The 19,860-nt window shown below is 41.2% G+C and overlaps 1 protein-coding gene, 1 long non-coding RNA gene and 1 pseudogene across 2 annotated transcripts in view; all 3 read left to right on the forward strand.

Annotated features, from left to right (window-relative positions):
• Positions 1-19,860, forward strand: part of EPHA1-AS1 (EPHA1 antisense RNA 1) — a 115,637-nt gene that overhangs the window by 28,376 nt on the left and 67,401 nt on the right. The gene's annotated exons all lie outside the window — the stretch shown is intronic.
• TAS2R62P (taste 2 receptor member 62, pseudogene) lies at positions 847-1,785 on the forward strand (annotated as a pseudogene).
• TAS2R60 (taste 2 receptor member 60) lies at positions 7,265-8,221 on the forward strand. The gene has a single exon (NM_177437.1). It carries the CDS (start codon positions 7,265-7,267, stop codon positions 8,219-8,221), a length of 957 nt encoding a protein of 318 aa, NP_803186.1.

A 19,860-nucleotide genomic window follows, 5' to 3' on the forward strand; every position in this document is an offset into this window, starting at 1 on the left:
TGCTTCCCCCAGCTCCTATGGTGATGTCCCCTCTGGGTCAGTTTCCCTTCTCTGTCTTTCTCGTCTTCTCATTATGATTTATCTACTCTCTCTCATTTCCTCAGAGGCTTCTTAGGAACTGATTACTTTTGGTTGATCAAGCACTCTGGAGCCAAGGGGATAACAGTTAACAGATGATGGTAACATATCAGAGAAATCCACATTTTAACTGGAGATTCCATGAACTCCAATATGGAGCTTGACAGTGAAATTTTAGGCAGCATGAGAGGCCAGTGGTTAGGGGGCCTTTTCTTGGTAATGTGAAGCCTTGTGCATGCGAATGATTTTTCTGTTCCACCCATTCGGGAAGTGAGCTAAGGCAGTGTATAGAGGCTACTGAATAAAATATTAAGGCAGGACGTGAAGGGAAGGTTTTTGGTTTGGGGAGGGCAATAAGAGTAACAATGTCTTTTAAAGAAGAGTTAGGAAAGAAATAGTACAGTTAAGACATCATGTACAAAATGTGGGTATTTTCAGTCACCCCAGCAGCCTCTATTCTGTTAATGTTTCTCTGCATCTGGCTCTGAGAAAGGACAGGCAAATACAGGTTATGCAAATAGAGATGGTGTCATTGAGCTGGGAGTGATTTGCATGCCAAAGGAGATTGCAGAAATTATCTTTTCAAATTCTGGGGACTGGGGGTGTTTGCTGGTGGCTGGGATTTTCTATGAATCCAGGGACAAGGGCTTCTGAGTCTCTGGTGTCAACAAGGTGGCTTGACTCAGCCAGAGAGGCTGTTTTTCCCTGAAGATGTGTCCCAGCCCTCTGCAGTAGGAGCTGAGACTTAGCAGAACCTCCCTGGAGAAGATGCCCTCCTTGCCCACGTTGATCTTCATAGCCATCTTTTGCCTGGAGTCATTGGCTGCAATGCTGCAGAATGGATTCTTGGTCACAATGCTGGGCAGGGAGTGGGTAAGGTGCCGGATGCTGTCCACAAGTGACATGATTGTGGCCTGTCTCGCTGCCTCCCGTTTCTGCCTGCATGGGGTAGCCATGGTGAACAACCTCCTGGCCTCCTTAGATTTTTCGCGTGCAGTTCCCTATATGAACATCTTCTGGGACCTTTTCAATGCCCTCACTTTGTGGTTTACTGCCTTGCTTGCTGCTTTCTACTGTGTGAAGATCTCATCTTTCTCCCACCCCACCTTCGCCTGGCTGAAGTGGAGGAACTCTCGGTTAGTGCCCAAGCTGATCAAGGGCTCCCTGATCATCTGTGGCCTGGAAGTCATCTCATCAGCCACTGGGAACATCCTGTTTGGTCAGAGGAAGGTCTCCCTGAGTTCCTACAGAAACGAAACTCTAGTTTATAGAGTGCAGGCTTCATTTCAGCTCTACTTTTTCCTTTATGAAGGGTTTGTGTGGTCGATTCTGTTCCTCCTGTTCCTAGTGTCCACTGTCTTGCTCATAGTCTCACTGTGCTGGCAGTTGGGGTAGATGAGGGACCTCAGGCCCGGCCCCTGTGATCCCAGCACCCAGGCTTACACTATGGCTTTAAAGTCACTCACCTTTTCCCTCATCTTCTGTACATTGTACTTCCTGTCCTTGTTTGCTTCTGCTTTGAAAATCATAAACTTTCAGAATCACTGGCACTGGGCCTGGTAAGTGCTAATCTATGCCAACATCTGTCTGCACTCTACCGTCCTGGTGCTGAGGAGCCCCAAACTGAAAAAGGGCCTGAAGACATGGCCTCAGCTCCAGTGCCCACGTGCTGCTGGCTCACAGGGCTTTGGAAGGTGCTGGCCATAGGGTGGTTCTGCTCCTGAGTTATCTGTGTCAGTAACCAGTCCTGGGATGAATGATCCTGGTAGGAATGTATAAGGTTTGGGTACTGTCTTTCTCTTTCCAGTTTCTTCTTTCTCTCCCCCTCTGTCCATGCCTCAGAATCCCTTTTCCATCTTGCTGTCTGTGTTCTTACCATCCCCTCCACTGCTGTGAGTCTCTAGTCCTAGCCGTCAATCACCTTGACTTTTGCTGGTGGCCTCATTTCCTCATGGGGCCCCAAGAATCTATAGGTAAGCAACCCTAATATTTGCCAAGCATCATTTTGGTCTGTATGCCCTTTATAGAGAACTGTAGCTGTCGTCAGTTGTCTCTGTGGGCAAACTGAAGCTTATTTTTTATATATTTTATTTTAATTTTAAGATGGAGTCTTGCTCTGTTGCCCAGGCTGGAGTGCAGTGGCGTGATCTCGGTTCACTGCAGCCTCCACCTCCCGTGTTCAAGCAATTCTCCTGCCTCAGCCTCCCGAGTAGCTGGGACTACAGGCGTGTGCCACCATGCCTGGCTAATTTTTGTATTTTTAGTAGAGATGGGGTTTCACCGTGTTGGCCAGGCTGGTCTCAAATCTCCTCACCTCAAGTGATCCACCCACCTGTGGGATTACAGGTGTGAGCCACCGCACCCCACCTTGAAGCTTATTTTTTTATAGTGACATAGGTTGTCCAGCACCATCCACTTGACATCGCCTGCCCTTCTGCTCCACACCTGTTCTCTTGGCCTCGTCTCTCCACTTCAGCCCAATAAATCTTCTTCCCCTCTTCCCCCAAGTCCTTTTCTTCTTCATGTGCTTCTTGGGCCCACCCAATACTTCCTTCTTTCCTTTCTCTGCCAATCTCCGTCATTTTCTTCCTTTGTGCTCTGCTTAAGACTGATTCCACTCAGGGAGTTTTTCCAGCCTGATCTCACAGAAGGCTAAAGACACATAGGAGTTTGGTGCCACTGTATGTCACATCCATAACTTCATGTGCTCATGTCGAATGAATAGGAATTGTCTGATGTGAAAATGCTTTTAGGTTTTGGCCAACAGAAGATAGATGGAAAACAAAGGAAATGTCCTACACTTCTTAATTTTGATGATCCTACTCTTCCTGTCTGCTCACCCAGGAGGTGGATCCCAGATGCTGCTGCTGAGGATGGGAATCTCCAGATTGGGATGTCTGCATCCCAGAGCTTGTGCAAGATGATCCACTAGGCCTGTAGCAATTTCAGTTTCCATTTATTTTTATCTTTTTCTTTTAATCCCCTTTTTTTGGGTATTTTATGATGCATATGACGTATTAGTAAAATGTACATGCATATAATTAAAAATAAATATGCATATGGTAATATCTTAGTCAGCCTAGGCTGCTGTGACAGAATACCATAAACTGGGTGTTTATGCAGCAGATATTTATTTCTCACAGTTCTGGAGCCTGAAACTGAGGGTGCCAGCATGGTTGGGTTCTGGTGAGGGCCCTCTTCTGAGTTGCAGACAGATACCTTCTTCTTGTGTCCTCACGTGGCAGAGAGATTTATCTTTCTTGTGTTTCTTCTTATAAGGACACTAATCCCATTCATGAGGGCTTCACCCTTATGAACTAATTACCTCCTGAAAGCGTTATCTCTAAATGTTATCACATTGAGGGTTAAGGTTTCAGTGTATGAATTTTGGGAGGACACAAATATTCAATTCATAGCTGGTGGGTTGCATGTTCATATATATATATTTTACTGATGGAATTCATGATAAAGTATGGAGACCGATAGACTAAAAGAGATTGGGAAAAACACTGCACACAGTTAAGAGAGATTCATATGTTTGAACTAGTCAAAATAGAAGCAGTAAATAACAGGACAGAACAGAGGTTACAAAGAATTTTCAAATAGATAAATGCGTGTAAGGTCAAATGTCCAATAATACCAGGAAGCTGAGGCCCCAAAACATTATGCTACAATGCTAGCTGGAGGCCAGGATATGGCAAGAGAAGAGAGAGGGATGACTAGAGGCAAGATAACAAGATCAGGAATTTTCTCTTGCAAGAGGATGATTAAAGGTTTAAAAGAGGAGATTCTCAAGTTGCTGTTGAGGAACCCAGGGGGATTTCCCCAGGGGGTAGAGCAAGGGTGAGGCAGGATGGAGGAACCTGTGGGGAGCTGGCACTGTGGCCAGGCTTTAAATTAAATAGACACCTAAAGTCTGTGAATTATCCCACCTAGAGAACATGTATTATCCTCATCATCAATCACGAAGAATTTTTCTTTTTCTTTGTAGCAACATGAGTGAGCTAATGACTTCCTACAGGTAGATTAATAATAAATTATGAGACTGAGCCTTGCGGCTCAAGCCACAAGTTGGTTGGAGGCAGGAAAGACAGGAGCATGGCGGGAGCGGGGAGATCTTTCTCCTCTATCCCTTCTACTCAACTGTGAGCACCTGGAAGACTCTTCCCTTGGGCGGAGCTCCAGAAGTTTACTGAAGGTGTTTGGGTGGGGAGTGGGTGGTGATTCAACTCTCATGTTCTGCTCCATCTTCACAGCCCTTCGAGTGATACCAGGTTAAGTGGACTTGTCTCAGGAGTTCCTAATTGATGTTCTCAATCTCCTTTTTAAAACTCTAGCTCATAAAAGCCCCAAAACACTTGGTGGCTCTGTCTTGACTAAAGATACAATCTAATATCTCATCAAGGCTTCCAAAATTTTCTGTGATCTCTCTCCAGCCTACCTTTTTGGCTTGATATGCCATCTTCTCTATGTAAGTCCTCTGTTGTAGCTAAATGTATCTAATTGTTCTGGATATAATCATGTATCCCCCTCCTTTACTGATGCCTCATCTTTTTCCTTCCAACATGCAAGACAGCATCTTTATTGTCTCACAATTATGGGGCTGTTACTTCTCAACTCTTCTGAGAGATCTTGGGATGGGAATAGCAAGATCCCTAACACATAGAGCCACAGACTGGGAGTCACTTGTTGAGAGTACTGAGTTGAAGGTTTTCCATATAGAGAGCTAACTCAGGATCCCTATCCTACTACCCTCATGATTACATTTATAAAGACTGGTTATGAAAAGTTAAAAACTCTCAGACTTGACTTTTACCTAAGAAGATAAATCTAGACATGAGAAAGCCAAATGCAACAAACAAACAAACAAACAACAAACAACAAAAGAATCACCACGAAACACATTGCATATTTAAATTCAAATGATTATTCCCTCTTTTGGATTAACTTACTCTGCACATAGTATATGTCCAGTAAATGTTTGTGGTTTATGTTTAGCCCATAAAAGTGCTTTGAAGGCAGATATCTAATTCACTGTTGTAGCCCAATGTCTTTCAAAGGGTTATCATGGCATATAGGATATGCTTAATAAATTATTATTAAATGAATTGAAGGTTAAATGCACATCTTTATCATTGAAGGTGTGGGAGGTGGATGAAAAAGATTCAAGTTTTCCATATTGGGCGGTTTGTAGGTGGCCATACTCCAGAGCTATAAGCCCGAAGTTTGCCCCATTTCTCCAAGTTCCAGTAGAAAACAGCCAAATGTCAGCCAGAAGAACAAGGGCAAGGAAGAGAGCAGTTGGGAACTCTATCTCCTGGAAATTTGCATCTTCACAGAAAGGCAGAGTGAATTACCTTAGTTCATCTTATTTCCTTTACTCCGAAGACCTATGTCCACTATGGTTGGCGTATGTGTTAAAGAAACAATTCCACCTGGAAGTGGACTACTGGGAAGTAGACTGGGAACTGGGAAGAGATGCTGACATGCGTTCTATTCCCTTTTTGTGGGGGTCCTATATATGGAACTGGTAGGTTGTGGTGTCAGCAGATGTGTATTCATTACAAATCCCCTTACTGTCATGTTACTTGATCCTGAGCCTTCAATATTGCTGTATTTGACCCAGAACAATTCCTGCTTTCCTATCTCCCTGTGACACGTTAACCTACTTACACTCACCTGGGTGTTGATTGCTGATTTTTTTGACTCTTTGAAGCTGATTTCTATAAAGAATGTGGTCTTTTTTTTACTCTGTCCTTCTCTGGTTGATATCAGTGGTCTGACATTTGGTGCCCTGAACTTCTGTTGCATCCCTGATGCTCTCCTGAATTCTCCTTATGCTACTTATTATGCCACAGGATGGATGGAATAGAAGATAGCCATTCTAATAAAGTAATTGTCATCATCATCATTGCTCCTTGTCCATATGCAGAGGTTTATAATTTCCAATATATTTACCATATTTATGGTCATATTTATTTGTGACCCATATTTTTTATAGGTGAAGAAAGGGGGGTGTTCAGAGAGGTTAACTGCTTGAGGATCCGTAGTGATTGTGACAAGACTCAAAACTTGGGCTTCTGAGTTCAGCTAGGGATGAAGAAGATGGAGGTGTAACATGTATTGCTAACCATGGCAGAGATTCCTGGTCCTGGAATCAGTTTGGATCTTGGTCTTTCCTCTGTGTAACTGTGACTTTAGGTGGGAGTTGTAATATATAATTTGGGGTCTTATTTCTTTTATCTGTAAGATTATCTTTCATGTCTTCTTTCATTCTAAGCCGAGATTCTAAGACATCTTTGTGAATTAGAACATAGGATACTTTTCATATTTTACAGATGGACAAAATGAGGCGCAGAGGGGCTGACATATCCAGCAACTCACAGTAAGGGGTAAAGTTTGGACTAAAGGCTGTCTCGACTCCTAGCACAGGGCTCATTCTGCCATATCCCATTGGCTTATCGCTACTGGGGGTTCCTCTGTGAAGTGCTATTTTAGAGGCCACCAGTTATCAAATATATATTTTTAAATTTTGAAAAAAGTTGCCTGCCTCATTATGTATAATTGTCTCCAGTGTTCTTTTTTTATGATGATGGTCACTGTGAGTAATAAGACTTGAATTAATCCTTCTCTGTAAAGGTTTGCTCAGTTTTCTCTCTGTCTCAGTTAAAGGGGTCTTGCCATACTACTCCCCGCATAGAGTTGTTGTGAGAACTAAGGAGAGCACTCAGAACAATGCCTGCAACATAACAATCACCCCCCCCCCGTGGATGTGAGCGCTGTCTCAGTAGCGGGTGTGCCCCACGGATGATACTACTGAGCTGGCAGGTGCATGGTCCTGTCATAGGTGTCCGCTTAGAGAAGTATAACCTCCTGTGTAAGGACACTAAATGCCAGGGCCTGATATATTATCCACTTTGATGTTGACATGGGCAGAGAATAGGCAGAAGAGCAGGCAAATTTTTGGGCAGGTATGGGGACTTTGAAAATTGAGCCTTGACAATATTTGCATCTACTCTGAGAAGAAAAAACCTCTCACCCTCCTCTGATAGCCTGCGTCCTCTACTCTGGCCTAGCTTCTGCGCTTGGGGCAGCTGGAGGGACAAACATATCCTACAGGACCTTCCAGAGCAACCCAACAGAGATAGCCCTTGAAGTTTTGGGACCCATCTTGTCCACCAGAGAGATGAATGGAGACCACATGGTTCTAGGATCTTCGGTGACTGACAAGAAGGCCATCATCTTGGTTACCATTTTACTCCTTTTACGCCTGGTAGCAATAGCAGGCAATGGCTTCATCACTGCTGCTCTGGGCGTGGAGTGGGTGCTACGGAGAATGTTGTTGCCTTGTGATAAGTTATTGGTTAGCCTAGGGGCCTCTCGCTTCTGTCTGCAGTCAGTGGTAATGGGTAAGACCATTTATGTTTTCTTGCATCCGATGGCCTTCCCATACAACCCTGTACTGCAGTTTCTAGCTTTCCAGTGGGACTTCCTGAATGCTGCCACCTTATGGTCCTCTACCTGGCTCAGTGTCTTCTATTGTGTGAAAATTGCTACCTTCACCCACCCTGTCTTCTTCTGGCTAAAGCACAAGTTGTCTGGGTGGCTACCATGGATGCTCTTCAGCTCTGTAGGGCTCTCCAGCTTCACCACCATTCTATTTTTCATAGGCAACCACAGAATGTATCAGAACTATTTAAGGAACCATCTACAACCTTGGAATGTCACTGGCGATAGCATACGGAGCTACTGTGAGAAATTCTATCTCTTCCCTCTAAAAATGATTACTTGGACAATGCCCACTGCTGTCTTTTTCATTTGCATGATTTTGCTCATCACATCTCTGGGAAGACACAGGAAGAAGGCTCTCCTTACAACCTCAGGATTCCGAGAGCCCAGTGTGCAGGCACACATAAAGGCTCTGCTGGCTCTCCTCTCTTTTGCCATGCTCTTCATCTCATATTTCCTGTCACTGGTGTTCAGTGCTGCAGGTATTTTTCCACCTCTGGACTTTAAATTCTGGGTGTGGGAGTCAGTGATTTATCTGTGTGCAGCAGTTCACCCCATCATTCTGCTCTTCAGCAACTGCAGGCTGAGAGCTGTGCTGAAGAGTCGTCGTTCCTCAAGGTGTGGGACACCTTGAGCCACAGCTGATGAAAAACTTCAAGGAGATTCTTGTGGAGAAGGCATGGACTCAAAGGGACATAGCTTCTCTCTTTGCCACATTGAATGTTTTCTCTCTGTTGCTACAGTTAATGATTAGAAAAATAACTTCAATGAAATAGGATACAAGGTGAGAGTAAAGGTCCTGAAATATGGGCTAGTGTCATGTTATGTACTCACCAAGTGCATAGTTCATGTGGCCATGGTTCCTGTGGGACCTGATGTGGTCAAAGAATCCAGAAGCCTTTATTTTTCCTGTGATCGATCTCTTCGTATTTAAAATAATCATTCTGGGAACTGGATGCAAAGATCCTCAAACTTCATGCAATATTTTATCTGTTCAATCGAACTGGGGCATGTTTTTGGAACTGCAGTTTTCTCAGGCTTTGTCCTGTGAACCACCTTTCCCTTCTCATCAATTCAAAGTTTTCTGGCCATCTAATGTGGTGCCTCTCTCCTTCTTTCCATGGAAGAGTTTCTGGTGTCTAAACCTTCTACACAGAGCATAGTGTAATTGGTGCATGTGTGTGGCAGTGTGTGTTGCCAGGGATGTGTGTATTCTCCGATGACCTTTGGAGATCCCTCTGAGTGCCAGGGGTCTATGATTTGTATGTGGTTCATGTTCTCTATAATAGCCCAGCCTGTTAGTCTCCTCTGTATTTGTTAAGGTCTGTGGGTTCAGATGTAACTTCTTTTGATTGATATTGGGACCTATTGTAATTCCCCTACTGACATGGGGAAGTTTATCTGTATCTGTCTAAGACCTAAGATTTAAGAAGAAAAAGCCTTTGTGTTTGGTGAACCATGTTCAGACTGCCTTTCTGCTTTTCCCAGCTCCTCTCAAACGTTCTTTAAGTTCAGTTACTCCCTGAATCATTCAAACGAGACAACCCTCAAGTTTCCTCCATTCACTTTAAAATCTCTCCGCCTCCTTTCCTGGTTTTTACCTCCACCACACTCTACATTAGAGGACTGGTCTCTGTTTTTGGCTTTTCAAGGCTGACATCTGTGATCCTAGCCCTGCTCCTGCCTGTTTTCTCTCTGCTGCTAGGTCAAGGATTTCTACTTCTACACAAATCTTCCAACTTTCCCTCTTTATTGTCCTTCCCTTCTTCAACAAATGTGCCTCTAAACTTTTTTCCTGAAAACAATCCCCTTATCTGTCTCGCTCCTCCCCCTCCCTGTACCCCTGTGCTGCCAATGAGTCACTTGCAGGGTCTTCCCGTGTGCCTTCCAATCCTCTCCTGCTTCCCTGTTCTGCTGAAACATGTTTGTTTCTACAGGGACACACACGATCTCTTTGTCACTAAATGTGATATTGTCCCCAGCCCTTATCCTCCCATGTCTCTGTTGTATTTGCCTCTGTTGATAACAAATGATTTCCTTAAAATAAACTGATGAAAAATATTTTTACAAAAGTACTGCTGATCTTGGTGAAAGATTTTTTTAAAAGGGAAACTAAACCTCACCCATAATTGCCCATCTGCGCATCTTTCTAAAAGTTGTTCTCTTGGCGACGGATGCTAGGATCTTCTTCCAGTTCCCATCGCTTCTTTTTGTGTCCCCTTCACTAACCACTCATCCTCCTGCCTCTTGGTTCTGTCCTTAGCCAGCCCTCTTCTTCCTTTGAGATGATATCTGATCTCTTTCCTTTGTGTTTAAATCTACTCACATAGCTTCAATTATGCCCTTCATGTTGATAATTACCAAAGCCTTGACCTTTCTCTAAACTCCAATCCTATATTTTCTTCCACTAATTGGACATTACCACCTGATAGTACCATGAGCAAATTTAGCAAGTTCAAAGTATTTCCTTCTTCTTTATTTCCTCCTCCTCCTCCTCTACTTTTCCCTCCCTCCTCTTCCCACCAGCCCGTCCCCTGCTCAGATGAATCCATTCATCTATTACAGCTATTCAATAAATCAGGCTATCAACTTCTGAGTTAATTTTCACCCCCTTCTCTCTACTGAGCCCTTGTACCTAATAGGTAACCATTTTCAAATTTTACCCCTGTGATGTCCCCATCATCTGTCTCCTTCTTCCCATTCCTGATCCTTGTTGAGATTAGACTATCTTCCTCTCCCACCTGCACTGCTGAGATTTCTTCTTCACTACTTGCTTCATTTCATGGTTCACTACCACCGCAGTCAGAACTATCATTTCCAGATTAATCTCCTGAAGGTATATCACCCGAATCATCTCTCAGTGCCTTTTTTTTTTTTTTTTTAAGACAGAGTCTTGCTCTGTCACCCAAGCTGGAGTGCAGTGGCGTGATCTTGGCTCACTGCAACCTGATTTTGGTTCACTGCAAGCTCCACCTCCCGGGTTCAAGTGATTCTCTTGCCTCAGCCTCCTGAATAGCTGGAATTACGGTGCATACCACCATGTCCAACTAATTTTTGTATTTTTAGTAGAGACAGGGTTTTGCCATGTTGGTCAGGCTGGGCTTGAACTCCTGACCTCAAGTGACCTGCCTGCCTCAGCCTCTCAAAGTGCTGGGATTACGGGCATGAGCCACCACACCCAGCCTCTCAGTGCCTATTAAATGAAGCACAGGCCCCCTAAATGTGGCATTCAAGAACCTCCACAGTCTGGCAACAACTTTATCTTTCACTGCCATTCTAGTAGATCCTATTTTGCAGCAAATTTGGATTATTGTTCTGGGCATGCCTAAAACTTCCTCCCTGATATCCTGAGAAGCACTCCCTATTCCCCCATGTACCTGTCAAAAACCCTACTTAACATTTTTTTTCTGTTTAACTTTTATTAATTCAAATGGTGTCTCTTCAGTGAAGCTTTTCTGGATGCCCCCCAAGTCTTAAATCTCTTCCTCAGTTGTGACATTAGTCCTGCCTTTGACGCTGTTGTTTGCATAGTTGTCTCTTCCACCCTAGAAGATCTTAAACTTCTTAACGGCATGGGCTGCCTCATACTCTTCCATGCATCCTCTGAAGCACTTAACAAGTACTTGCGCTGAGCAGAATGGTTCTATAAGCTGGAATCCAGCTAGAATCACATGTACTTTTATCTGTACATTTATCTCTGGGGTACCTACTACATTTTTATGCCTATGTTTGAGCTTTCCCTTTACTGTCTGGCTGGCTTATCTTTTGGAAGTCACACTTTGACTTATGCACAATGTAGAAATAATAAATGGGTGAGTGAGAGAGTAAAATTTGCCTGATTTTATGATGTCTTTGACTTCTTTCTTGTACATTTGCCTGTTGCTAAGCAACTGAACAGCAGGCTTTCAGTCCTTCCTATGGGAAACTTAGTGGAGTGCCAGCTCTCCTCTTTGTTACTGACCCGATCTCCCTTTCCATAGCGTCCTACATAAGCTACTCTTTGTTCCTTCCACCGTTCACACCATTAGCCTAGGAGAACAGAGCATATTCCAGAATCTGAATGATCTCCCCACAGGGACAAGTTCCCTTGGAGCTTGAACACACAGGGAGAAGTAAAAGAGAAGCAAGGGTAGTTGTATTTTTAAAATATTTGGTAACTTATTATCATAAATTTTTGTCCATAGTCTAATCTCATCGTCAATTATGAGTTGTAATAAAAATTATGAATTATAATATAACTCATTATTACCTTCATTATATAATTATGAATTATAACATAATTCATTACTACCTTCATTATATAATTGTGAATTATAATAACAATTACTTATTGAACGTCTATTTTGTGTGAGGAACAGGACTAGAGCACTAATTTACTTAGTCTTTTATGTATTGTTTCTTAAAACAACAATGTAAAAAAAATGAGACTTAGAGAGGTTTACTGAGGTCTCATGGTCAGTGAGTGGTAGAATTTGGGATACTTTAGTGCTGTAGTATTTAAAACCGTGTGGTACTGATGTAGACAATAAGGTAATAGAATATAATAAAAGAAATGAATAGACAAACACATCAACAGACAGCCCAGACAATAGTTACATGAAAAATTACATATATGATAACTAAAGCATTTTAAATCAGTGAGGAAAAGATGGCCATTTAGTGTTGTGGTATACTGGTACTCCAATTGGAAAACCATAAATTTAGAGCTAACATTTAATCATAAATTCCAGATAGACATTCTTTTTTAAAAATTTTATTTACTTATTTTTAAATGTTTTTGAGACAGGGTCTTGCTCTGTCTCCCAGCTGGAGGAGGTGAGAAAATAAACGTTCATTCTCATATATTGCTGACATCAGCATAAACTGGACCAACATCTTTTCAGAGGACAATTTGGTAGTACCCCCAAAAGTTAACATGTACACCTTCCTACACCCAGCAATAAAAAAAAAAAAAAAAAAAAGGCCGGGAGCAGCTCACGCCTGTAATCCCCGCAGTTTGGGAGGCCAAGGTGGGCGGATCTCTTGAGCCCAGGAGTTTGAGCAACATGGTGAAACCCTGTCACCTGGGCAACATGGTGAAACCCCTTCTCTACAGAAAACTCAAAAATTAGCCAGGCGTGGTGGCACCCACCTGTAGTCCCAGCTACTCCAGAGGCTGAGGCAGGAGAATCACTTGCACCGGAGCACCCAGAGAACACCCGCGCAGACATTAGGAGAACTTGCAAACCCTACAACTGGTGGCCCCGCCGGGGATCAATATTTTTTTTTTATCATCAATGTTATAACAAAACGACATTATTCAAGGACCTGCTGTATAGACAAATAAGTTAGCTCTTATTGATAGTTATTAAACTCTGCACATGCCCAGAAAATACAACTTCTTTGCAAATATCAATGAAATAGTCATGAAAACTGAGAAAAAGAAAATTGCATAAAAGGGAAAACTACAACCGAATCTCACTTATGCATAGAAAATCCTAAATAAAATATTAGAAAACACAGTCCAACAGTGCATTACATATTATATCATTTCCAAGTAGAATTTAATCTAGGAATTTAATGATGATTCAATATTAGAAAAGTCATTAACATAACACATTGATACTTGTAAAAGAAATGTAATATAATCACCTCCAAATATGCTAAAAGGCAATTAAAAAATTTAATACTGTTTTGATAAAGTGCTCAATAATATAAATATTTAATAACATGAAAAAATATATCCACCTTACCCAAAAACTTGCAGCCTATATAATGTATCCAGAGACATTCTTATACAACTCAAAAATATGAAAGGAATGAGCATTATCATCACAATTTGTATCTTAATGGTGAAAACATTTGATTTAATTAAGAGAAACAAATTATAGTTATTGACATTGGAAAGGGGAGCTATATATATTCTTGTATAGTCGGAAAATCCAAACAATTAACATCAACATAAAAGCTACTACAGACCGATATGAACTTAGCAAGGTGGTGGGATGCAAAACAAAGATACAGAAATGAATATTTTCTAATATGCAAAAGAAACCACCAGTTAGAATAGAATGAAAGAAAAGATTTTATTGCAATAAGAACAAAAAAGATAAAATACTGGAATTAAATTTTACAAGAAGTGTATAAGACCGACCTGAAGGAAACTTAAAAATACTCAGAAAGACATGAAAGTCGACATGAACTAATGGAATCCTACATTGTCTTCTTAGATAAGAAGATTTGCTACCATAAAGATGTTAAGTATTCTTTCCTCTCTTCCTTTCTTCCTTTTTTTCTCTCTTTCTCTCTTTCCTTCCTTCCTTCCTTTCTCTCCCTTTCCTTTCCTCCTTTCCCTTCCCTTCCCTTCCCTTCCCTTCCCTCCCCTCCCCTCCCCTCCCCTCCCCTCCCCTCCCTTCCTTTCCTTCGTCTTTCCCTGTTGCCTAGGCTGGAGTGCAGTGGCGTGATCTTGGCTCACTGCAACTTCTGCCTCCCAGGTTCAAGTGATTCTTATGTCTCAGCGTCCCAAGTAGCTGGGACTACAGGCATGGACCACCATGCCCGGCTAATTTTTGTATTTTTAGTAGAGACAAGGTTTCACCATGTTGGCCAGGCTGGTCTTGAACACCTGGCCTCAAGTGACCCCTCTGCCTCGGCCTCCCAAAGTGCTGGGATTACAGATGTGAGCCATGGTGCCCGGCAAGATGTTAATTATTCTTAAGTTAATTTGTTAATTTAGTATAAGACCTACAAAGTACTCTTTTCCTCTTTTTAAACCTATAAAAATAAGACTAACATAGTTTAAGCTTATAGAAATTGAAAGAAGTCAAAAAAGGTAGGCAGGCTCTATTATGTCTTAAAATATAGCATGAGCCTCAAAATTTAAATATGTTTGTGAATATATACTGTAGAATAGATAGTCCAGAAAATGAATTCATATACATATGGTAATTTAATATAAATTCACTATAGATAAAAGTAATATTTCATATCAGAGAAAAATTCAGTAACTGATGTTGAGATAACAATAGTCATCTAAAAAAATGTTGCCATATCTCAAATCCTATGCCAGGATAAAGTCCAAATATATCAACGTTAAATGTTAAAATGAAACAACACAATTGCTAGGAATAAATGGGAGGAGAGGGATTCTTTTAATATCTTGGGATGTGGAAAGTCTTTTAAACTCATAAAGAAAAAGATTAATTTTAATTTTAAAAATTCTGCATGGCAAGAATTTATAAGAAAATTACAAAAAACAAACAAACTGGGAAAATAAATACTTGCAACCCATATTATAATAAAAATGTAATTTCCAATATATAAAGAGCTCTTAGAAATGATAGGTAAAGGATCAACAATTCAAAAGAAAAAGAGAAAAGGCAATAAATATGAATATGAACTTCACAGAAAAGGAAATACAAATGGCTCCTTAAACACAGAAAAGATACTCAACTTGATTTATAATAAGAGAAATACAAATTAAAACTATATTGGTCTACAATGTTTAAACTATCCACTTGGCAAAACTTTGAAAACATGCTCTTTTGCCAAGTTATTGGAGACACATGCTCTTTTCCACATTGCTGATGGAAGCATAAATTAGTATACTCTCTTTGGAGGGAAATTTAGCAATATACATCAAATTTACTAATGCATGCACCCTTGGATCCAGCCACCCTCCTTGGGATTTTGGTGCATTGAACACCCTCCATATGGGTCACAGTTTGGCCTCACTCTCTTGGACCAGCTGGGACATGAGACTGGTCATAGGTCTAGAAACAATGTGGGGTGGGAGTGTGATCATTTCAGGATCCGCAGTGCCTTGCAAAGAAACTACTTGAAGTAAGTCCCTTACAGGCCTTCTGGAGGAAAGAAGTCATCTATCTCCTCAGATAAAGTAGGAAGGGCTGCTTCTATTGGTAAAGAAGATTTGGCAGAACTTAGGAGTTCATGTTTCTAGTTTTACTGGAATCTGGCCATTTCTCTCCATCCCAGTTTTCTGGGCCAGACCCCTAGCTGATGAATATCCTAACTTTTTCAAGAGACCCAGCAAGGTTGGAAGTTCATGTGACATTGTAATTCATCCACCCACAGAACAGATTTTAGGTTTGTTTTTCAGAAATCTCAACTCCACAATAAGAAGTGAAAAGGGATTTTTTGTCACAGTCATAGAAATTTTCTGGTTGTTTGCTGGATCTTGAGCTGGGAATTCCAAGCCCTGCACCACCATTTTCTCTCTGTCACATTCTCTAGCATACTTGCAGGCACCAGCCATACCAGCTGGAAACTGCCTGTTCTGAAAGAGCTGGAATGACCTTTGGAATGTGCAGCTGAGGTACCAACTTCGAGATGACATTTTTTGTGGAGGTGAGTTGTTGTCCTTAAAATGTGGAATATACTGTAAACGAATGACCATTATTTTGTGCTGTGTCTCCAACACACAGACCACATGGGTCTAGGACTCAAGGAGTGGAAGTAGAAGTGGCCTTGCTCACCATATCTTCTGGAGACCCTCTTGGAGGATTCCTGCTTCCCGTGCTTTTAGCTTTATGCTTTGTATGCATAGAGGTTGGTTCCCAGAGTAGGGAGCATTTCCAAAAGGGGACACAAGAAAAGTCCTAATAAAATTATAGCTGCCACCTGGTCATTTTGAGCTCCTGATCCCAGAAGACCAGGAGGCTAGGAAAAGAGTTACCAACTCGCAGGAATAATTGACTGTGATCATAATGTGGAAATAGGGGCTGGAAAGAGTATGTGAAGAACTCATGTGACCATTGGGTCATCTCTTAGCACTTCTGTGGCCAATTCTACTACAAATAGGCGGGTACAGCAAGCACTGCTGATAAGGACATGGCAGTCAGGACTTAGATCTCTCAGGGATGAGGGTTTGGGACTTCTCATCAGGACAGCCACCTACACTGCATTACGTGCTAGCCAAGAGTAAAAGATATTTGGAGTGGGTAGTAGATGAAGACAGTGATGTGTATTAGTCATGGCCTCATGATCAGCTGCAGCAGTTGGGGCTGTATATAGTTTGCATCACTAAATCTCTCTCTGTCAGTTTCTCCAGAAATTTCAACTGGCCAGAATCCTGGAGAAGCTTTGACCAGGTGGAGTGAACCTAATGTGAGAGCAGGTTAGGTTAGTTAACATTACGTTAACTGGTGTATGCTAAAACTGAGTGGTACAAGGGGTAGATTACAACAGCTGCTCTTGGTGCACCCTCCCTCTAACCGAATCCACCGAATTTACAGGGTTGATATACCCATTGTCGCCTGCCAGATGTTGGCTGCTAATGACTGCTAATGGTTCCCAAGGATTGCCTTTGATTGATGGAAGCCACTCCACCCAAAGAAGTCTGATTGTCCATTCCCCTCTTTCTGCAGTTCTTGGCTAATGACTGTGTAATGCAGGCTTATAACAGTTCCACTTCCTTGCCTTCAAATGGGGCAAACTTTGGGGTCAAACTACACTCCAAATCTCCCCATGGGATCAAAGTGACTGTATATTGATCTAGAAACTACTTAAAAAATTTAGTTTCTTCTCTTCTTCTATCCTGTGTATCTTATTTTCCTATAGTTTTTTTTTTTTTTTCCTGAAAGGAACAACTCAAAATGTAACTTGCACAAGAATCTCCATCTCAGACTCTGCTTTTGAAAAGTGTGATCTCAGACATAAAGATGAGAACAATAGACACTAGGGACTTCAAAAGGAGGGAAGGAGTGGGGGCAAGGGCTGAAAAACTTCCTGTTGGGTACTATGTTCACTCTCTGGGTGACAGGATCAACAGGAGCCCAAACCTCAGCATCATACATTATACCCTCATAACAAACCTGCACATTTACTCCCTGAATCTAAAATAAAAATTGAAATTAAAATAAGAGACACATACAGAGCTTTACATAGTCTCACTTGAACCCCTGCTGGAGGCTAACAGGCGTGCAAAGCAAAAGACCACTCACACACACAAAAATTAAAATTAAAAATTAAATTAAAAAATAAATAAAAAGTGTAATCTAAGTGGTCTGATTTTCAGGCTATATCTCTGTGATTCACCCTTGTAGATCCCTTCTTTACATGTGTACATACATGTCTGATTTAAAACTTATATCTAAAACTGAACTCCTGATATTCTCTGACCTCCCACTCCAACATGCTTCTCTCACTATTTTTTCTGTTTCTGCCACTCCGTTCTTCTAGTTTCTCTGGGCAAAACCTTTTGCATTCCATGAAGAATCATTCAGCAACCCTGATGCTAGACCATTTAACCTAGAGCTAAAGCATTGGTAGATGACCTGCTTCTGGGTTGTGGTTTCATATGGAGAAAGCTGTCCTTTCACTCCAGTCTTTTGAAAGCCAGACCTTGACACAAGGGTTTGAAAAAGTCAGGGTTAGAGTTGAGGTTGTTAACTCAACCTTCAAAATGAATCTGTAACTCTACTGCTTATCACCACCTCCATTGCTACTGCTCTGGTGCAAGCCACTATAACTCTAGCTTGGATTATTGCAATGGCTTCCTAACTGGTTTTGCAGCTTCTGCTCTTGTTTGCCTTTGGTCTATTTCCAATACAACAAGCCAGCAGGATCCCTGAAAAATATAAATCATATCATGTCACATCTCTTTCATAATTCTGGATTTGCTTTTCATCCTAGAGTAAAAGCTTAAGTCTTCATAATGAACTAAAATGCCCTCTATAATCCATGTGCCCTATCTCATGTTTCTGAAGTCATCTGTTGCTGTTTTACCCTCCTCTCACACTGAGCTCATCCCTTTGGCTTTCTCGATGTTCCTTGAATTTGTCCAAAGTCTTTGCATTCTCTGTGCTTGGAATGCTATTCCCAGATATTAGCATGGCTCACTCCCTCACTTATTTCAGGAATTGTCATTGCTACTCTATCTAAATTGCAATACCCTGTACTACTATTCCCTGTCCTGTTTTTTTCTCCTTAGTATTACCACTATCTCTTTTACTTATTTATATTTTTTATGGTTTATTTCCCCCACTCTAATGTAAGCTTCTCGAAGACAGGGATTTGTGTCTGTTTTGTTTTTACTGGCAAATTGTAGGCACTCAATAAATATTTGCTGAACACATGCATACATTATTTTATTATAATTAACTAGACTACTATTATTATGCAACAGGTCATCATTTCTATGCTTGTAGAAATGGGCGTGGCTGCTAGAAGCTGGATCATCAATTGATATTCTCTTACACATTCAGAAACTGGTGATTTTGCTGGTTCACTGATACAACACTGAGCCTCCACATTTTTCACAGTTGTTGTTAGAGACGAGTAATTGCTTCCATGTTCATATACATCTTAACAAGCATTTATTGATCACTTTGATATGGAGGTCTAGGTGTACATCCCTGCTAAGTGCAATGGGGTTATAAAAGTAGGATCTTAACATTCAAGAAATTTACCATGCAACATATATACACCAGTTAAAGGAGTACGAAGCAGTGAAGAGCTGAAGTGACCACTAATGAAGTATAATATAATAGTTCATATTTGACCCTAGTACTGAGAGAATTATAAAATGGAAACTAATCGGATACAGTCCATTATTTAGTATTACTTATTTGTAATATTTTGCTGCAAATTTTGTACTTTTCAAATACTTGATATTGGGGTTTCTGTTTATCTTTGATAGTAATCTATTAGGTTCGACATTTCTTAAAGTCATGCATGGCCTCCTTTTCTGAACTCTTGTATACTTAGGCCCATATCGCTGGCCACTCTATTGTGATTCACTCAAGTGAATGGGGGTAATCTTGAGATTAAAAAAGTCACAAGAACAAGACCTCAGATAGGAGGAGGGTTGTGAGGGAAACTGGATCTTTGAAGTGAAATCAGAATTGTGAGGCAGAGAGGGAGCTTCTGCTCATGGGGTTGGCCTCTGTCACAGGCTTGTAATGATTCTGAGTTTCAATGGTGTGGATGGCTGGCCTTGGTGACAGATAAAAGCTTTCGAAACTGGGCTTCAGCAGTAGGCAGCTGAATGCATTTGGAACTTTAGTTAGCTGAGCTGACTGATGCATCTTTTAACTATAAATAATACTTGTTCTGGACTATAGTGATGGAAATCGAAGGCTAGTTGGGGGTAGGGGACTGTGTGTGGGGACAGTTCTTTTTGAAAACTTTTATTTTTCTTTCAGTAAGCCAAACAATTTTTAAAAAGAGGTTGAATAAACTATTTAAAATACACTATTTACATGATACTTTCATTATCTATTTTGCTCAAGGTGATTTTTTTAAAATATGAAACTGCTCCTATGTACTCAGATT

Source organism: Homo sapiens, chromosome 7, assembly GCF_000001405.40.
Source record: "Homo sapiens chromosome 7, GRCh38.p14 Primary Assembly".
Taxonomy (NCBI): Eukaryota; Metazoa; Chordata; class Mammalia; order Primates; family Hominidae; genus Homo; species Homo sapiens.

Excerpts from the sequence above, each read along its gene's own strand:
- TAS2R60 (NM_177437.1), top strand. The coding sequence starts at position 7,265 with ATGAATGGAGACCACATGGTTCTAGGATCTTCGGTGACTGACAAGAAG.